The sequence below is a fragment of the Homo sapiens genome, chromosome 4, assembly GCF_000001405.40.
Source record: "Homo sapiens chromosome 4, GRCh38.p14 Primary Assembly".
In the NCBI taxonomy this organism is placed as follows: domain Eukaryota; kingdom Metazoa; phylum Chordata; class Mammalia; order Primates; family Hominidae; genus Homo; species Homo sapiens.
Window position 1 is genome coordinate 36085926 of NC_000004.12, and position 21410 is coordinate 36107335.

At 34.8% G+C, this 21410-nt stretch overlaps 1 protein-coding gene across 16 annotated transcripts in view; it reads right to left on the minus strand.

Annotated features, from left to right (window-relative positions):
• ARAP2 (ArfGAP with RhoGAP domain, ankyrin repeat and PH domain 2) overlaps window positions 1-21410 on the minus strand; it is a 239381-nt gene that overhangs the window by 80522 nt on the left and 137449 nt on the right. For all 16 annotated transcript variants that reach the window (XR_007096351.1, XR_007096352.1, XR_007096353.1 and 13 more), the window contains one exon: window positions 5956-6095. Coding sequence is in view for 6 of the 16 variants with exons in the window: in XM_047449575.1 (XP_047305531.1) it covers window positions 5956-6095 (140 nt within the window). In the remaining 10 variants the exon portion in view is untranslated. The remainder of the gene's footprint in view (window positions 1-5955; window positions 6096-21410) is intronic.

Below are 21410 nucleotides of genomic sequence, written 5' to 3' on the forward strand. Positions count from 1 at the left end.
TAGCCTGCTAATTTGCTGAATTTTAAGGAAGAACATTTTAACAATTTGAACTGTCTAGTATGAGGTAGCTTTGTAAGGTAGTAAGTGCCCACAGTAGGATATATTCAAGGAGAAGAGAGCTATCAGGAATGTATGCAGTATAGGTGACTCCTAGCCACCTGTGTCAGAGGTTAAATCAAATTACAACCAAGGTTTGTGTTCCTTTTAATAATTTAGATTGCTATTCCCTCAGACACAGTCCCAACCGAGGCAGCAGGGTTGGCTGCAACTCTAGCAGTATGGGGAAGATAGGACTTGCATATTGGAGAATGAGAAGCACTATGCCTGAACCAGACAGTCTTCATTTACACAGGACATTGATGATTTCATGACTGCCTACATTTTGAAAAACTTTTGGTAATAAGTAGATTGAGAGTCTGAGGGAATTGACTGCCCAAGTCACTCCTGGCATGCAGGCTCATTACTTTATACCACAGCATGTCCAAAGAAACACAAATGATATAATTTGAGAGGAGATCAGCAATTGTAGAAACACATTCTTTTCCATTTCAGTTTTGAAACTGAATATTCATAAAGAAGAGCTATATAGATCTTAATGGAAAGTTCTATAAAAGGAAATGTCATTTGGCAAGATCGCTTTACTGTTGGCTTATTACAACTTTCTCTTTTGGTATGTGTAACTTACAGAGAATTTCTCCAAAAAGTTCAATATACTAGACTATTATGAAGTCTGAAATGTGTTGCTTCAGCCACTCCATTTCAAAGTGAAGTTTTTAAGTTAGCCAATTAAATGAGTGTGCTTAAACAACTATTCCTGGCACATAAAAAGAGTTTGCTTATTAAAGTATAGGCAACTTTTAATGATCCCCTTTACCCATTTGCTTTCTTCACACCATTAACAGTATAATGGTAATATTCTCTGAAACCTCTCCCCTTTTATGTAAATTAAGTCTGAAAGCAATTAACATTTTCTGTTCAGGGAAAACTTGCAGAACAAAAGATATCTTTCCCTGTGTATTACCCCAATTTGTTTTTAATGAGCATTCATAAATTATCTCTAATTAACACAAAGTCGCTTTAAATACACTTCTCAATTTGTAATTTTTCCTCCCTTTTAACTAAATCATTTAAAAAATATATACAAGCATGCATATATTAATGGCAACCACTAAAACAAATGCTAAGTCTTTACTCAAAAAGGTTAGGATATTTTACTGTTGATAATTTACTATAAAATCATTTAAAAAGTTAACATCGCCAATGGCTTCACCATCAATATTAATAGGGACAGATCAGTAACATGAAAAAACAACAAAATGAAGTCATGTGCTGAAAATAATCATAGTTTGAGTTTAAAGGAAAAGCATGAATCTCTCATCTGCTTTTCAAAATGTAAAAATTAAAGTATCAGTTGCATTAATCTATTCTGACAGATATGCAAATTTAACTTTCAAATGCTTAATAATCAGACAATAATTCCACAACTTGAGGTCACTGTTATTAAAAAATGTGTTCAGTATCCTTAAAGAACACTGTTTTCAGAGAAGTTCTTGAGACTATCACTGCCTACCAGGTTATATAAGTTAGCTCAGATTGAGCAAGATGATCCTTTCAAAAAGATACAAATTCTTAAAGCAAAACTTACTCTGTTAAGGGATATGAGACCCTTCATCTCACTTACAAAAACAATGCATCTGTAAAAGTCACTGCATGAACAGCCTTCCCTGTGGCAGATATTAAAGTGTACATCAGCTTGAGAGAAAACACTATAAAAACTGAACTGTTTGCATTTCCTTATTTAAAAATGTTTGATACTATTTAATAAAAGTAAACTTACTCTCTACACATAAAATTCTTTCAGCAAAAACACTAAGGTAATACAAATGTTAAATTTCCTTTGTAAGTTTCTGCATAGAGCCTTTGGAGTCTAATGCCTGGAAATGAATTCTGACTCCATCGCTTACTGTGTATGTGATTTTGGACAAGTTATGTAATGTCTTTGAGAGTCTTTCTTCATCTGCATAGTGGGAATAATAAGAGTACCAATTTCGTGGGGTAACTGTATAGATAAAATGAGATAATCCAAATAAAATGTACGGAACTCTGCTTCGCATAGAGTACCCACTTGAATGTTAGTTGCTGCTATTATTACTGCACTGTCATTACTACTACCACCAACTACTATATTTGTTTTTAGCAACCTTCTGTTGCTACACAATGAAAAGTGTCAGTTTCTTGACAGGATGAAAAAGTTCAGGTTGATTTCTAAACACGCCAACTGCAAAAGTGATCCTTAACCAACATATTATGTATATGCAAGGACCGTGATTAAAGAAATCAGTCTTTTGAAAATCAAGGTGGGCGGTCCACTGCACAAAACCAAACACAATTCTATCAGATTCAGTTCTAGCTGACTAGAATAATAAGCTGTGAAGTCTAGCCTGTATTTTCACAAGCATAAACGTAAAGTTTGTGAACCTTAAAATCTGATGTGTTCCATCACATAACCCCATAATTCTATGAAATCTACTATTCCTCTATGGGTAAAATTGAAGAATGATAATAAATGATAGTAACCACTTGATACCCACACAGACTCCCTTCTGGATATCAAGTGGGGGTTCAAATGCAGTATATAATATGAATCTGTGATAAGGGCTGCAGAATTCAGGCTGTTTTATTAGTCTCCTGCCTGGACATTCCACTGTCCTTGAGGAAAGCAAACATTGGAATGTATACACAGAATACAATGCTATTATGATTTATTCATGCCCACATGGAGGCTCCCCTGCTGGAGGAATACACAGAGAAAGTAATTAAAGCACACGGAGTGCTGAACAGAAGCCACAGAACAAGACAGCCACAGCTTTGGAAAGCTGCCTAACAATTCTTTCTTTGTAACATATTAACAGATGTTAAAGTCTGGTCTTTCTTTGTGCATCTCCACAACAGAACACAGTGAAGCATCATTCACTTATAAGTGTGCAAGCAATGTTTACCCAAGTGAATTTTATAATTCAATATTTAAAAAGTATTTTCCAGGTCCTGCTGACTTCCATTCTACATTTAAAGTAATTGCCTTGGTACTACTTGAATCTCAGAGAGTTGTTGCTGCATACCCCCATGTGACCACCATCCAAAACAGGAGAAAGAACATTTCTATCTAGAAAGTACCCCACTGACCCTTTTCCTTGGCAATTCTGCAGCAAACTCTGTCCCCAACCTAAGCAAACACTTTCTGACTTCTATCACCATAGAATGGTTCTGCCTGTTCTTAGACTTCTTATGCACAGACTTATATGATACTATTTTGTGTCAAGTTTCTTTGGTTTCAAAGGTTTTAAAAACTCACCAATGCTGTGGCTTGTTTTAATATTCATTTTTGTTGCTGAGTAGTATTCCATTATATGAATAGAATATTTTCCTATTGGTGGACATTTGGAATGCTTCCAGTTATCAGCTTTTATGAATAAATCTGCTTATGAACATTCTTGTACAAGTGAGTACAAGTAGTTGTACTGCTTGAGTAGAGCCACTGGATCATGGGGTAGATTATGTTAGTAACTTCATTTAAAAACTGACAAACAGTTTTACAGAGTGATTGTGTGATTTTACCCTTCCACCAACAATTTATGTGGGAGTTCTAATTACTCTACATCATTTTTTAACATTGGGTGTTATCACTGTTAAGATTTTAGTCATACCAATGAGTGTAAAATAGTGTCTTGTGGTTCTAGTTTTAATTTCCCGATTATTAATGATATTGAACACTTTTGAATCAATGGGTTATTGGACATTTCTACATCTTCCTTCATGTAATGTCTGTTCTATCCTTGCCATAATTTTTATTGAACTGCTTTTCTTATTGTTGATTTAGAAGAGCTCTTTATACTCCTGATATAAGTCTTTTTCTGATATATGTTAATTAACACATTTTCTCAATCTGGGACTATTAGTACACCTATTAATACATTTTTCTCAATCTGGGACTTGCCTATTCATATTCTTAGTGGTATCTTTGGATGAGCATGCTATTATTATTACATTATATTTATAAAAAGAATTTTTACATATATTATTAGACCACTAGCTTGACTAATAAAGAAGAGAGAATATTTGATAAACACAATCAGAAACAATAAGGGGGATATTACTACTGACCCCATAGAAATATAAACAAGTATCAAAGAATATTATGAATACCTCTATGCATATAAACTAGAAAAACTAGAAGAAATGGGTATATTCCTGGACACATACAGCCTCCCAGACTAAACCAGGAAGAAACTGAATCCCCGAACAGACCAATAACCAGTTCTGAAATTGAAGCAGTAATAAAAAGCCTACCAACCACAAAAATCCCAGGAATCGGAGGGATTCACAGCTGAATTCTACCACATGTACAAATAAGATCTGGTACCATTCCTACTGAAACTATTCCAAAAAATTGAGGAGGGACTCCTTCCTAACTCATTCTATGAAGTCAGCATCATCCTGATACCAAAACCTGACAGAGATACAACAAAAAAGAAAACCTCAGTCCAATATCCTTGATGAAACATCAGTGCAAAAATCCTCAACAAAATAGTGGCAAATTGAATTCACCAGCACACCAAAAGGCTTATCCACCACGATCATGGAACAGTATGCATCCATAAAAAAGAATGAGATCATGTCCTTTGCAAGAACATGGATAGAACTGGAGGCCATTATCGTTGGCAAACTAGCATGGAATAGAAAAACAAATAACGCATGTTCTTACTTACAAGTGGGAGCTAAATGATGAGAACACATGGACACATAGAGGGGAACAACACCCACTGGGGCCTTTTGGTTGGTGGAGCGTAGAGGATTAGAAAAAACAACTAATAAGCACTAGGCTTAATACCTAAGTGATGAAATAATGTGTAAAACCAATCCCCATGACTCAAGTTTACCTATCTAACAAATTTTCACTTGCACTCCTGAACTTAAAAACCAAAAAAAAATTTCAACAAATTAAAGAAAAATGCTGTTAACCTGTCGCAGTCTTATAAAAACCAAATCCCTGGAGGTGGGGCCTGTGCACATTTGTTTTACTTTTTTTATCCTAATGCTTTTTAAAAATTGCAGTGTATATATAATACACATATAAAAAGTACACAAATCATACATATTAGCTCCGTGAATTTTAATAAAGTGAACATACTGGTGTAACCTGCACCCAGAGAATATAAAAAAAATCATATATTATTTTTTAAGCATTAAAACAACCTGACATGCAGAACTCATACTATCTTAAATTACAGATTTGGATACTGAGGTTGAGAGGTTAAGTTACTTATTCATGTAACCAGCTCTTCACAGAGATGAGATTTTCTGATGTTAAGTTCAATATTTTTATAGCTACATCATTTATCTACTCCCTCTTTTATATCTCTAATTCTCTTATCCACTCCACAATTATTTAATAAGATCTTTTAGGGAAATAAATTAGACGGAATATATCAATAAGATTACATTAATACATATGAAATTAAAAATAAGTCAATTCATTCAACCATATAGGAAAGATACTAATAAGATTTATTTTAACTTTTGGGTTTGGTCATTTTATTGCACCTTTTATTAATTTCCAGTAGCTAATCTGAAGCCTTTTATTTTAGGGTATCACACATTCTCTATTAATTTTATTGACTGAGATGTTGATTTATAATACATATTAGACTTTTCTTCAGGGCTTAAGTCATTTACTGCCCCTCAAAATCTGAGGTGCCTAAAAAGGCCTTATAAAATTATTCACTGTGTTACTGAGTGCATTAATATCTTATACCATAGGCTGAAGCAAATCATCAGCTTACCATGCATTTTATATACTACAGGCAGTGACTTCCAAGAGAGATGGCTGACAGTAGCATAAAATACAAATGTTAATACCCACACAAATAAAAATGTACGCATGTTCAAATACTATACCTTCACATCCTTGTAAAGAAAGAGAAACCCATCTCGTAAAACAAAATACCGGTCTTGAAACTTATTTCCAGATAGTATTTTGGATGGTTCTTCTTTGATTTTCAAGATTCCTTCTTTGATGCTTCCCAGTGTACTCCGGTCTGTAAAGTACAGCATTACTTTTGTGAGTTGGGTACGTTTTTACTTATTTGAAATACAATACAAAACATTTCTATATTGTCATATAGAAAAAATAAGAACTTGTTTACTACCGCTAAAGTCTAAGGTGAACTTCCGGGAATACCATGTGTCTGAAGTATAGCTATTTATCATGTATGGGCCTGCCTGGACTGTTCAAGTAGCCACAGGCTAGAAATCACACAAAATGTGGTTAGTATAGGTTGAGAGGTGCTATAAGTATAAAGTTTCTACTAAATTTTAAAGACTTTATATGAAAAAATATATATCGGCTGGGCGCAGTGGCTCACACCTGTAATCCTAGCACTTTGGGAGGCCGAGGCGGGCGGATTATCTGAGGTCAGGAGTTCAAGACCAGCCTGGCCAACATGGGGAAACCCGTCTCTACTAAAAATACAAAAATCAGCCAGGTGTGGTGGCACATGCCTGTAGTCCGAGCCACTGGAGGAGGTTGAGGCAGGAGAATAGCTTGAACCCAGGAGGCAGAGGTTGCAGTGAGCTGAGACTGTGCCATTGCACTCCAGCCTGGGTAACAGAGAGAAACTCTGTCTCAAATAAAATAATAAAAAAGAATATATCACAATTTTTAAAATATTAATTACATATTGAAATGTATTTTGGATATTGGATATGTGATATTAAATAAAACATACTGGTAATTTTACCTGTTTCTTTTTACTTTTTTCTAATGTGGCTACTATACAATTTATAATTACATATGTGGCTTGTATTATATTTCTTTTGAACCCCACTGGTATAAACAATGCAAATGCGCAGATAAAAAAGGAAACACCTTTAAGAATTCTGACTCAAATCCACAAATTTTTAAGGCATTAAAGAAATTTTTATAAATGTGAAACAGGCAAGGGTAAGAAAGGCAAAACTGCTAAGGTAGAACATTTACCCATCAATGATAGACTGAATAAAGAAAATACGGTACATTTACATCATGGAGTATTATGTGGCCATAAAAAGGAATAAGATCATGTCCTTTGCAGGGACATGATGGAGCTGGAGGCCATTATCCTTAGCAAACTAAGGCAGGAACCAAAAACCAAGTGCCACCTGTGCTCACTTATAAGTAGGAGCTAAATGATGAGAACACGTGGACACATAGAGGGGAACAACACACACTGGGGCCTATTGGAAGGCGGAGGGTGGGGGGAAGGAGAGAATCAGGAAAAGTAACTGATAGGTACTAGGCTTAATATCTGGGTGATGAAATAATCTGCACAACACACCCCCATGACCCAAGTTTACCTATGTAACAAACCTGCGCATGTACCCCTGAACTTAAAAGTTATTTTTTTTAAAAAAAGAAATAACAGGAGAAAACAGAATTGATTTGAGAAATAACATACTTGAAAAACTAAATCTAAACATGCAATAATTGCTACAATTTATTGATTACCTATTAGACATCCACACATTATATACACTCTCTAATAACAACACTAAAAAAATTGTGATTATTATGTTCATTTTACACACGATAATACTAAGGCTTAGAAAGGTTAAGCAGATTTCCCAAGGCTGCAGAGCTAATTGAAGGAGATTAAAACTCAACTTAAAAAAAAATTGTATTTTGGATTCAGGGGTACATGTGCAGGTTTGTTACAACGGTGTGTAACGCTGAGGTTTGGGGTTCCATTGATCAAGTCACCCAGACAGCAAACATAACACCTGACAGAACGTTTTTTCAGCCCTTATCCTCCTCCTTCCGTTTGGAGTCCCCAGTGTCTACTGTTTCCGTATTCATGTCTGTGTGTACCCAAGGTTTAGCTCTCACCTGTAAGTCAGAACATAAGATATTTGGTAAAACCCCAATTCTAAATGCATGTTCTTTTCTAGACATTGCTACCTCAGAGAAGAAACTGAGGAATTTTACAATAATTGAGTCCAAGTTTAAACCTAACATATCACTAGAGAAGCCCCCTCACATTTCCATAATATCCTTTTCCTACTATTATGATGGGTCTAATGGACATTGACTAATAAGCCAGAATTCCCTCCAGTTTGGTTTACACGTTATTTTTGTAGCTCAGAGATTGGCAAATTATGGCTGCAGGCCAAATCCAACCCTCTGCTTATTTTTATATGGCCCATGAGCTAAGAATAATTTTTACATTTTTAAATGGTTGAAAAAAATTTCTCAAAAGTTTGATGACACATGAAAATTACATGAAATTCATTAGTCCTATAAAAATAAAGTTTTATTGGAATGCAGCCTCACATTATGTACTATCTGTGGCTGCGAACATGATACAGGGACAGAGCTGAGTAGTTGTTTCAGAGACCTTATGGCTTACAAAACCTAAAACATTAACTCTAGGCCTTTTACGGAAAAAAGCTTGTTGACTCTCACTTCTCAAGAATAGCCTTAGGGGAAACTCCTCTCCACCAAGAACCTGTTCAATCTCTTTGCCTTTAGTTCAGTAGTTTCTTTATTCATTCTTCCATCAAAAATGTACTTTTTCTTACTATCAAGCATTGTGTTTGGCACTGTGGTAGAGGGACAAATAAAATTATAGAATTCCCAGGAACACAACAGAAAGGGAAAAGGCAAAGGATATTTCAGAAAGAAAGAATATGTGAAGGCATGAAGTGTTAACACAATGGTAATAATCTGAGCACCCTTTAAGTGAACAACTCATAGAATCACCTCTAGTGTATGTGGAGCACGAGGCAAGCACTGTGCTAGCCCTTTCCATGAATGCCTCATTAAAGGCTCAGAACCACACTTTAGGTAAATTAATCACAATTAATATAATTTTATAGATGTAGAAACAGGTTTGATATAATTATGAAACTTATCCAAGGCACACAGTTAAAGAGTGCTGTCATCAGAATTCAAAGTCAGGTCCACCTAGCTAGACTGGGAAGGTGCTATCACAGGTATTAAAAGATCAAAAATATCTAACAAAATGTTTGTCATTAAAATCCATTTTTGATGATGTGTGATGTATAAAGACATGTCAGATTCATCTATTTTTGGATTAATTTGTATTGACAGGGGCATCAGACACTGAGATATTCTTTCCTTCCCAGGAAAACTCTGGCTTATGTCAGAAAAGCTCCCCTCCTTTGCCCCACAATTTTCCGCCCATGGCCCAGTCCTTGCAGGGTGGAAGAAGAGGAGGCAGAGCCACCAGCGATAGATGTTGTTCTATAGTTTGAATGCATGCCCTAAATTTTCCACTTAAATTGTTATAATGATTCATCTTTTTCTCCTTATTTTTACATTTTATTTTTAGCATGTTCTAAATGGCTAAATGTGTTTCTGGGATTCCTATTCTGTGACATTCAAGTTAGATAATTTTTGATCTGGTTTTACAAGCCAGAAAATAAGATTCAGAGAATTATAATGACCTGCCCAAAGACATAAAAATTAGTAAGTGATAGAAAAGGGGATTGAAGACTAGCAGAAATAAATACAAAGCAAAACCAAAAAGCACAATACACTTTGTGCTCCTGTGTACTGTAATTTGTTGTAGCTTATGAATAAAAGGCTCTGTGTGCATAAAAAAGGGTAGCTCCTTTAACAGCAATTGTATTTCATGGGCAAAACTGACAATGTGCCACACGTAGAAATCATTTCAACTAATTTTTGTAACACAAAAACATTTTGTGAGAACATCAAATTTGTATTTGTTTTTTATCATGCACAAATTTGTCAGTATATCTCCAGTCTAAAACTTTCCCCTGAAATCCAGATACATATTCAACTGCTTACTTGAGAACCGAAGAACAATAAAAAGAAAGAGAAACCTCAAGCCAAATAGCCATGATATGGTCATTATGCTGTCAGCTTCTGCTTTTCCTGTAAAACAAGAGTAATGACACCTATCCGGAAGGATTGTTGTGGGCCTTACACAGGATAACGCACACACAAGATGTATGGCAGAACACTGTATCAGGTCTATCAGTTTAATACCTTTCTGATATTAAGGTGATAGAACTTTAAATATCCATGCATCATTTCTAAAATTTATAAAATAAAAACTTTAGAAAAAAAAATTAGTCTTTCCAGGCACGGTGGCTCATATCTGTAATCCCAGCACTTTGGGAGGATGGGGCAGGTGGATCATCTGAGGTCAAGAGCTTGAGACCAGCCTGGCTAACAAGGTGAAACCCCATCTCTACTAAAAATACAAAAAATTAGCCAGGCGTGGTGGTGTGCCACTGTAGTACCAGCTACTCAGGAGGCTGAGGCATGAGAATCATCTGAACCTGAGAGGCGGAGGTTGAAGTGAGTCTAGATTGTGCCAGTGCATTCCAGTCTGGGCGGCAGAGTGAGACTCTCTCAAAAAAAAAAAAAAAAAAGAAAAAGGAAAAAAGTAGTCTTAAACCCAACAACCCTTAATCTGTTTGGGGAAAACATTTACTATTGCAGCAAATACACAAATGTTCACACCTAAAATTAGCATAAGAGAACAAAAGTTAAAAATACAAATAGTTGCTTACAACTCAAATATATGAGCATGGAATGACCACTTGGAAGCAGAAGTGCCCAGGATTAATCACATTACTGATCCTAACCATGAATAAACATATATAACAAACCCAATAGTTTTCATGATACACATACTGACCTCAGACAGTATTTTATTGATCACACCGTCATACTAATAGATTCTTTTTAGGTACTTCGTGACTTTTAAATAATTACTGAAAAATATACTGCTAAAATTTGTCTTCTGGTACAATGTCTTAATATTCAATTCCACAGAGAAATATTGTAAAGGATTTTTATAGCTAAGAAGTAGAGTAAGCAATTTGTTAAACATTGTATGGACTTGGTCATATAGCTGGTTTAGAACAAGAGAGTCAAGAAAGGCATCTATAATGCCTTGTTGGTTTACAAATAGGTATTTTTAAAAGCAAGTTATAATCAAGTTGTGAAATATAGATATTTAAATTGCTTAAGTCAGTAAAATCCATTCACACCTTCTGACAGTACTTTTCATTTACATTTTTGCTCAAATTAATAAACCTTTCCATTTTTACCAAGAAATAATCCTATGTCTCGTATTAAACAACTCATAGTCATAAAAAACAGACTTAGGGGAAAATATTGTTTAAATTTTAAATATCGTTTAAATAGTAACATTTACTTTAACAATCATTGTATGTGATTGAGTATATTGAGTACAAACCTCAGCGTGCACCCTATTAAGGGACTCAGGATGAAAGTTTTGAAAGGAATATATGCTAAGGATGAGGGAAGAGCAAAAAAAACTTTGAAATATGAAGCTCTATGATAAATATTATGATTTAAAAGACTTTCTAAAAGCTCTCAAAACCAAATTCCTGTCTGTTCCCAAGATGTTAAAATAAGTAGAAAGCCACCAATTAAAGGCCAAAATAAAGCTACACACGTTGGGGTACACTGTGTGTAACTCTATATGTAACAAAATGAAGGTCATGAATTGAATGGCTTCCAGTAATTCATTCTTCCAAACTGTTCAGGTACTGGTTGGACTCTCAACTTTGGGGTACTTCACTCATACTTTTTACTCCCTTGACCTCTTGCTAGACAGAAAGCTCCCTTGCTAGTAGGGAAAACCATCTATTGTTTTCGTGTGAGTATAACAGGTTTGAAAGTTTAATGCACTCCCCAAAGCACTAAATTCTCCCAGAGATAAATCCTAGGATGCACATTAACAGGTACTATTTCATTTACTACCTTTTGATCTTTCATTCCAATCAAATTACAGCATACTGTTACCTCTACTGAATCATAAAACCCTCCCTTATTCTTGGTAGTTGCTAGGATGAGAAAGGATAGGTTGGAGTTTATTGAAAGGTCTTTAAAATTAAAACTGCGGGTAACAAAACAAACATGTATTGTAAGTTATACTGAGCTATCAACTTGTTATTAATTTAGAAAAGCTCTTTAAAAGTCACACGTAGGAAACAAAGCAGAATGGCCAAATTTATTTAAGCAGAACAGACATATCATGTAACCAGGCAATGAAACTGAAAAGCTCGCACCTCCAAAAAAAAAATAGTTTTTCTAAGCCATTTGAAAATCTCAGTTTTTTAGTACAAAAATAGTTATCTCCAAACCACCAGCCCCAAATTCCAACAGAATAATTGATAGGTGGAGGAGGCTGGGGTTGAGGGGAAGAGGAGAGAGAAACATACACCCAGGAATGGCATTTCTCAGATATATATCCCCCGCTTTACCCTCCATGTCCAGGCAGCTAGCAATCAATCATTATTCTTTCAGCAATTCTCTTTGGGACTCAATTCCACTTCATTCCCATTGTTATCACCCTACACACTTCCTTTTCTCTCTAATCCTTGGATTTCAGAATTCTCTAACTCCATGTCCTACCTTTCTAATGGCTCCAACATACAACTGCAGATTCTTGTTATGAAAACACAGTCTCCATGATTTTATAAAAGCCCTGTCCAGAGCCCTACTGTTCTAATGATTAAAGCCTTACCTTCCTAAAGCCAAAAGCCTACACTCCTCTTCCTGACTTTTAAAACATGAAATAAATGGACAACTCCTATACATCTCTGTAAATTATTAAACTAAAATATAATATTTAAGTTCAATTGATCATAATACACTATTTGGAAAACCAATCCTTGTCTCTGTGGTATGACTCAAGTTAATCACTTGATTGATCTTGAGAGAAATCCTGTTTTCTTTGATTCTGTACAAATTTGATTCCTACTTCTGGACCTAACTCATCCATGAAGATTCTCCCAACTACTTCAGTCCATATTTTTTTCTCTCATGCCACTAAACTCCAAGATGTAATATCACCCTTGAATTCATGAAACATCATATTTGCTTCATAATTTAACTCTTTTTTTTATTTATCAACATTTAAGTTCTGGGGTACATGTGCAGGATGTGCAGATTTGTTACATAGTAAACATGTGCCATGGTGGTTTGCTGCACAGATCAACCCAACCCCTAGGTATTAATGTAAGTACCCATTAGCTGTTCTTCCTGATGTGTTCCCTCCCCCTACCCTCCCCTCCCCATGGACAGGCCCTGGTGTGTGTTGTTCCCCCACCCCATGTGTCCATATGTTCTCATCATTCGGCTCCCACTTATAAGCGAGAACATGCGGTGTCTGGTTTTCTGTTCCCGTGTTAGTTTGCCGAGGATAACAACTTCCAGCTCCATCTGTGTCCCTGCTATGGACATGATCTCATTCCTTTTTATAGCTGCATAGTATTCCATGGTGTATATGTACCACATTTTCTTTATCCAGTCTATCGTTGATGAGTATTTGGGTTACTTCCATATATTTGCTATTGCCAACACTGTATTTTGAAAGAAAATATTTCTACTTCTTGAAGGGCATGGGCCTTATCTACAGTGCTGGGTTGACCTGACTACAAGAAATCCACAGAAAATATAATCTAATAGTTACTCCCATTACAATATCGTACGCCTGTCATACAAGCTATAAAGGAAGAGAAAATTCACTTTTATTTGAGCTACTCTTTACTCCTCTGAGCCTTCCCTGGTTTGTGACAAACAAACATTGTAACAGCTTCACCTCTCTTAAGTACATATTCATTTTGTATTTCCTGTTTAAAATAATGTAGACTTAAATCTTCTTCAATCTAGGCAAGAGCTGAAACAATACGGTGACTAAGAGCACATTCTGGCGCTAGACTGCCTGGGCTTGAATGACAACCACATTCTCTGCTAGATCGCAGACAGTAATCTCTAAATCTCAATTCTCTTATCTGCAAAATGAGAATACATACAGTACTTACCCAGTGGATGTGGTATATAAATTGCTCAGAATAGAGCTTGGCAGAGAACAAGAAGAATGTAAGTCCTTGTTTAATTAATGGAGGGAGGACATAATTTTTCTGTGTTGCAGAATCTAAGGCAAACACTACAGAAACAACTACCCTTACAAAAGTCTGATGACTTATAGATTTAGTTTCTAAGAGTCTAAAAACCTCATATCTGATTTATCCTTGATTTCAGGATAGTAAGGGGTTTAGGACAGAATATATAAGCTGGATATGGAGCGATCTTGACTATAATGCCTGTTTCTCCACTTATCAGCAGGTCGCCTTGAAAGAGTTATGTAATACCGCTACATCCCAGTTTCTCCATTTGTAAGTAGCAGTAACCCTAAGACAGTAGGAAGATGACATAAAATAATGTAAGTAAAGCATTTAGCCCAGCGCACATAGTAAATTCACAGTAACTATGAACTATTGTTATCTCTCACATATTATCTGATCAGTGACAAGGAAATACACAACAAATTGATCTATTTTTCGTGGTCTGCATGTGTCTCTCTTCTTCTCTTGCTGGCAAAGACTATTTCTTCAGAGCTGTGCCTTATCTTAAAAAATTATTTGTTCCAAGTTCTACCTGTCCCATGTACTCTAAGTGATGAAGGGCACAAATGGGCAGTTTCCATGAGAAGCAACTCCCTTGAAATTATGCCAAGATCAAGTAATTTTGCAATATTTGCAGGATAACATCTAAAAAGTCCTTCCAAATTCAAAATTATGCATATTTTCTTTTCTTCAGAATTGATTGTATAGATGTATTTTTTTTATAATTTTGATGAGGGAGAATTACTCATATATTTCATTCACTGTATGATATTCACTCAAAATGCACTTTGGTGAAATTTACATGAGAAGACACCAAACTGGGCATAATCACTGCTTGAAAGTATGTTACTTCTTTCTTTCTTACTTTCTTTTTTTAATTAACACTTGAAGATTTATTTTTAGAACACTAATGGGGGAGCATCTTTTTAAGGCTAACAGATATAGACACACTGTGACACTTCAAGAAAGTAATCTATTTCTTAGGATAAGCCAAGTATGCCCCCTTCACTCCAATCTATTCTCCTTTATGTTATTTATACGGTTGGCCCTCTGTATCCATGGATGCCGCATCTGTCAATTCAACCAATAGCACATCAAAAAATGTTTGAAAAACCAAAAATAACAATTTAAAATACAAACAGAAAAAAACATAGCATAGCTATTTGCATAGCATTTACATTGCATTAGGTATTATAAATAAACAGATGATTGAAAGTATGGGAAGGATGTGCGTAGATTACATGCAGATACTCTGCCATTTGATATAAGGGACTTGAGCATCTGCAGATTTTGGTATCCACGACAAGCAGGTGGCAGGGGGGAGACGTGGTAGTGTCCTGTAACCCACCTCCCCATGGATACTGAAGGAAGACTGTATTGAAGTAGCAGTGGTTAACAGAACAAGTAGCCTGTTGACATCCTTCTATCATTAAATTATTTATAAATAGTTAAATTATAAATATAGTTACTATTGGAACAGGATTTAATACAAAAGTACCAGAGTTTTTTTTTTTTTGCTATTTTACTACTAATGCAGCAAATTGCAGAATTCAGAAAATTGTTTTCCTATACTGTTTTCATTATTACATTGAATTATAATAAACATTTCTAAAATATAATTTAGTGTGATATATTTAGTTTATATTCAATGAATGTATAATTTTCAGCATACTGTTAATAAATGCAGAGATAGCACTGGAGTTTTCAGTGATCAGATATGTTTTCTGATCACTGAAATCAGTGATTCAGATATATTTTCTTTCATGTGATTCTCATGCAACTTTGCAAAGTAGGGAAGACAGGTTATATCATCTTATTGACAAATGTGAAAATTGTGGCTCACAATTATGTGACAAGATTAGAAAGCAACATGCTAGAATATGAATTCAGGTCTCTTAATATCTAACATGAAATTCTGTCTCCTATCCTGGGATACTTCTAAGTAATAGTCATGATTACCATGACCACCATCACTATCAACCACAATAACAATACGTGTCCAGGTGCCTTTCTTGGTTTCATGTATCATTTTACACTGTTAAGCACTCTTTTTTCCTAAAAATTACTCCTTTGACAATTTACGTGGCATTGCTCTCTTTCTTGAAACTTTTCTGATTGTTCCTTCACAAGGCCTCTTTTGCTACATCTGTTCTTTAAATGCTTGTGTTGTATCTCTGATATTCTTACTCTAACACTAAAATTGCATGACTTAGTATTCTGCCAAGGCTAAAACCACTTTCCACACAATGAGCTCTTAGGTTTAGGTATTTAGTTCCCTTCTAGACATATATCCTCAAACACACGTCAGACTCTTAAAGCTCAGCACGTCCAAAACTGAATTCTGTGGCTCCATCCATCACTCCCAACCAGCAAGCTCTTCTAGTCTCCCTATCTTAATATCCCAGGAGTTATCCAAACCAAAATACCAAGAACTACAATCCAGCTTTCATGGTAATGATCTGATGATATATACTCTGGAAAGCATTCCCTAACTACCTAGACAAAAGTGAGTTGGCAGTCCTCTAAAATTTGGTCAGTACTTGCTCAGTTATAAACTGTTTCATATATTTATATATTTTTAAAGTTTATTCAATATGTACTTTTAGTGAGTAAGAGTAAAATATAGCCTTGTTAAAGAAGGATAGCATGCACAAGAAAAACTAAGAAATGATATTTCCTTGAATAAGACACATTCAGTGAAAGAAGAGATGTCTACAATTACCCAGTTGAACTACTTTTCTGTGATTGAAAGCTCTTCATAAACATCCTGACCTAGAGTAGTCTATTACTTCATGCTGTTTGTACTCTAATATTTCAACAGTTGTCATACATTTAAAATTTCTGTTCTTTCTGGGTATAGACAATGTTTAACAAAACTCTTACATTTAAATACCTTAAATTTTCTATAGATTACTGCATGATACAGAGAGTTAATACAAATTTACCAATAGGGTTTCTCACCACAGAATTATATTTTAGAAAATGTCAGGAAATTGGTACTCCATAGTAAATATCAGTGACTATCATCAATTTCAAAAAAAAAAGAAAAATTTCCAATTTAAGTGGCCTAGGTCTTACTTTTAATATCTTGTACATCTTTGGCTTTAAGAAAACATGATGGGGAGTGAAATGTAAATTATATCAGCTAGGTAAATTTATGGATTTGTATTATATTTGCTGAAATTGTCTTTTTTTTTAAGTTCATAGATAGTGAATGGCTCAGCTTTCCAGGTCTGAATTTACTTGAAGCAGTTGCATTTTGAATTACACTATTCTAATGCAAATTTAATTCCATAGCATCTGTCATATACAGCAATCTAAACTTAGAAATTCAAAGAAATATGCATTTGAGTTACATCTTATATCTTTATATATAAGTATTTCTCTCCCATTTAGATCATTAAAATTTCATTCTCATGTATCATATTCTATTGGGATAATTTTCAAAAAACTTTAGTGCTTAAAATAAGACTTACGCAACTTGAGATTATTTATTCTGGAGCCTTACAGAAGCTATACATTTATGGTTTGCTTGTGATAGATATGTTGAAGTTCAGTATAATATATAATAATAATAATAAATAATGGTTTAATTAGGTAAGCTATGACACTGTCTAAATAGCAATGTAAATGAAGTTTCATTCTCCCTATCTTAATAGTTCAGTCATAATATATGGAATAGAAAAAAATTGAGGACTATTACCTTTGTTTTCAAATTAGTTAGCTCTTTTTTACAATAATGGCAATGGCACAAAATGTTCCTAAGAAATCAAATGCCTTTGAAAAACACAAATAATTTTTAAGTAGAGGCAACAAAAAACACACTTACTCCTATCTAACTCTATAAAAGTAAATTATGTTACCTCCTTACCTTAAATGAATGAGCAGAAATTAAGTGCTAGATTCTAAAATATATTCTTACTTATGTGTGAAGTCCACATTTTAAATAGTTCAGATAAAGAAAGAAAATTGAGAAAATTAAAACCCCTTAATTTTAGCAAATTTTTTATATAACATTCTCGCGTTAAAAGGAAGTGGTGAAAACATAACGTCAAGCAAAGTATATGGTTATAATTTGTTCTACATATCAGGAAAAAAACTCCTAAAACGAATGAAATGCAAGCCATAGATAGACAGACAGAAATTATAAATGTAGGGACAGAGTAAAATTTGTGGCAATTAGGTATCTAATGTGGGGGTGTAAGGTACAAGGGATGTTATAGGGCAACTCTATGTTTTAACAAAATGTTAACATATTAGCTATTTGTTACTGAGAAAAAATGTGGTTGCAACCAACTGCTCCCCCACCTTTTTTTCAAATTCTGATGATTTCTACTTGGCCCCAGGTTAGAATAAGAAATTCTTAAGAAAGGAAAATAAATCTTTAACATTATTCCCATTTTTCTTTGAAGAACAGTTGAGTATTTCTGAGATGATTCTAGTTTATCTGCTAACACAATGACAGAGAAATCATATTTGATTTATTTTCGTTATTTCCCTTTTAGATCCCAATTTTAAGGTGTAGCAGAGGTAATGAAATGGAGCAATAACTCTGGAGTAGGTAGTCGTTGTGATTGACTTAGGAGACATTTTCCAAGACAAAAATAAATGAGACTGAATACCAAAATTATCAGAAGTCTATCACAAAGTATGCCCCATAAGAGGTATTAATAAAGTTGAGGCTGCTCTAAGTCATAACTATAAGAAAAAATCACGACTTAAGAAATTGATTTTTTAAAAATATTACAGATTCCTTAAAAGGGCAAGCTTCAATTCAAACAAATGGAGAACCAACCATAATGAAAGAGATTATTTTGCTTTTACAATCTGAATATAAATCAAACTCTAATTCAATACTTATAAAAATTTTATGGGCTAGAAAATAAGAGTACTTTAGACATTTATTTTATAGGTTCTCTTATTTTTGACCAGACTACATAACTACAAATATGAAATGATCCAATTAATGTATTTGCTGATGGTTTTCCTTTAAATCACTATTTTTTTCATGCAAAGTTCCTGGTACAATAACAAGATGCATATTTGTTGGATTAAATGAGGTAGTAGGGATAGTTCAGGGACAGAGGTAGGTTTTATGGCTCCCACCCTGTTAGAGATGTGACGTGGGTAAGAGAGTGACACAGAAGTTTACTGACATTTTACTCCAAAGAATATTTCATCCTTGGGAGGTCAAGGCAGGTGGATCACTTGAGGTCAGCAATTCGAGACCAGCCTGGCTAACATGGTGAAAGCCAGTCTCCAATAAAAATACAAAAAATAGACAGGCATTGTGATGAGCACCTATAATACCAGCTACATAAGAGGCTGAGGTAGGAGAATCACTTGAACCTGGGAGGCAGAGGTTGCAGTAAGCTGAGATCACGCCACCGGTGGCACTCTAGCCTAGGTGACACAGCAAGACTCCATCTCAAAACAAACAACAACAACAACACAAACCAAAGAATATTTCATCCAAATCTCTGAAACATCACTTAAGCCTCCAGCTTGCTTTCTTCTGCTTTGCTTCTCTAGTTCTTCTCTAGCTTTTTTTCTACAAGATTCTTTGTCTAGATCTTACAGAGGCTTGATGCTTTTATAACAGAAGGACACACTCATAACTCCATCTAGAAGATGTAATGGGATAGGTGGAACATCACGAAAACACCAAATCTTCCTACCCAGTTTGTGGTTACAGCCAACGTACCAGCTGTCACTGTACCATTTCTTCTTGCCCTTACACAACAAAGGTTTTACCCAGATATGACTGCTCTAAACCAGCGCAATCTACACCTTGTTGGGTTGTTTGCCACCCACCCCCAGCCATGCCCCGAAGATTAATAGCATTTAATGGTGAACTTGTTTTGGGTTACCCGCACCCTCAGACATACAGAACCTTCACTTATAACATAGCCTTTTAGGATCTAATTCTTATCCATTTTTATTCATATAGCCAACCTACTAGCATTCACACAACAGCAAAGGTATTATGTCTAGGTGTAGGTTTTAAACATGTTGCAACATGGAGAATTAGAGATATTGCAGAGGAATATCAGAAGAAAAGAAACAAATAAAAATTTCAACAGAAAGATAAAGAATTAGAACAGATATCACAGATTATCTAAATTAGGGTTTCTCAACATCAGCAGTGACCCTTGGTCTGTACCCACTAAATACCAGAAGCCCTGCCTCCCTACCCAATCTCCAAGTTGTGACAGTCAGAAATGTCTTAAGACATTGTATGTTCCATGTCTTGTGGGCGGGGAGGGGAGGGAGGGGAAATCATTCCTAGCTGAAAGCCACTACTTTATGACATGTGCATTCATACATGTGCATTCACATCAGTACAGAGAAATCCTATTGCAAACATTAAGAAGGCACAGGCAGTATATGGTCAGAATCATATGTAAGAGCATGAAAAAATTTCAAACAGGATAAAGGTCTCGGAAAGGCTACATTTCTACAGTATAAAGAGTTAGTATCTGTTTTGGCTTTTTAGATGCTTATAAGAACACAATGACATAAAAGTTGTTATACTACTTGCATTTTGTAAAAGTACTTTCACGTAAGTAAAAGTATGTAAGATATAAAAGACAGTGTATTAAATCAGAAGTTTATATGATAAGCTTTGGTACAATTAAGAGCTCTGAATTATGACTATTAACTAGAGAATCTGCAATGATACTGAGTAGTTTACAGCACTGAAGAGCTGTACCATCCTCCCCACCTTTTTTCACATGATTAAAATTAGGAGGAACACCAATCAGTTCTTCAATTCAATACTTAGTAACTGAATAATATAAGGCAAATTACTTAAGTTCTCTGAGTTTCTCTTCCCTTCATTTGTAAAATTCAAAAGGTAATATAACTTACAAGGAAGTTAAAAAAAACTTTAAATGAGCTTTGGTGTGTGTTGAGCTCTGCTGGTATGCAATTAAGAAATAATAATGGTTATTATTTATATTAATCATAAAAGTAATCATAAATTTCAATCCTTAGCTTATTGAGTTGGATTGTATATAATCCTGGCTTTTTTTTGATCTTTCAGTTGATAACAACACAACAGAAGAATAATTAAGTTTCAAAATAAAAATTTTCTGAGATCTCATAGAGGTTCAGAAATGGTCTTATATAGTTCACTGTGCTAGCTAACTTACTTAATTAACCGTACATGAGCACTATCTCCTTCCAGTTGGATGGGAAGCATTCTTACTGGAAGTATTTTATTTTGTAAGTATTTATTTTCCAACTTCATCACAAAAATGTGAGATATATAGCAAGCACTCTATCTCAGAGCCTATATAATTAGCATTCCTTTAATGCCTAGAAAGCTTTCTAATGTAAATGTAATTCACAGAGATGACTTGCCCTCAGTCTAAAAATTGAGGAAAATACATAAGCATAAGCATGGTAAACAACCTTTAAAAACAAACTATTATTTCCAA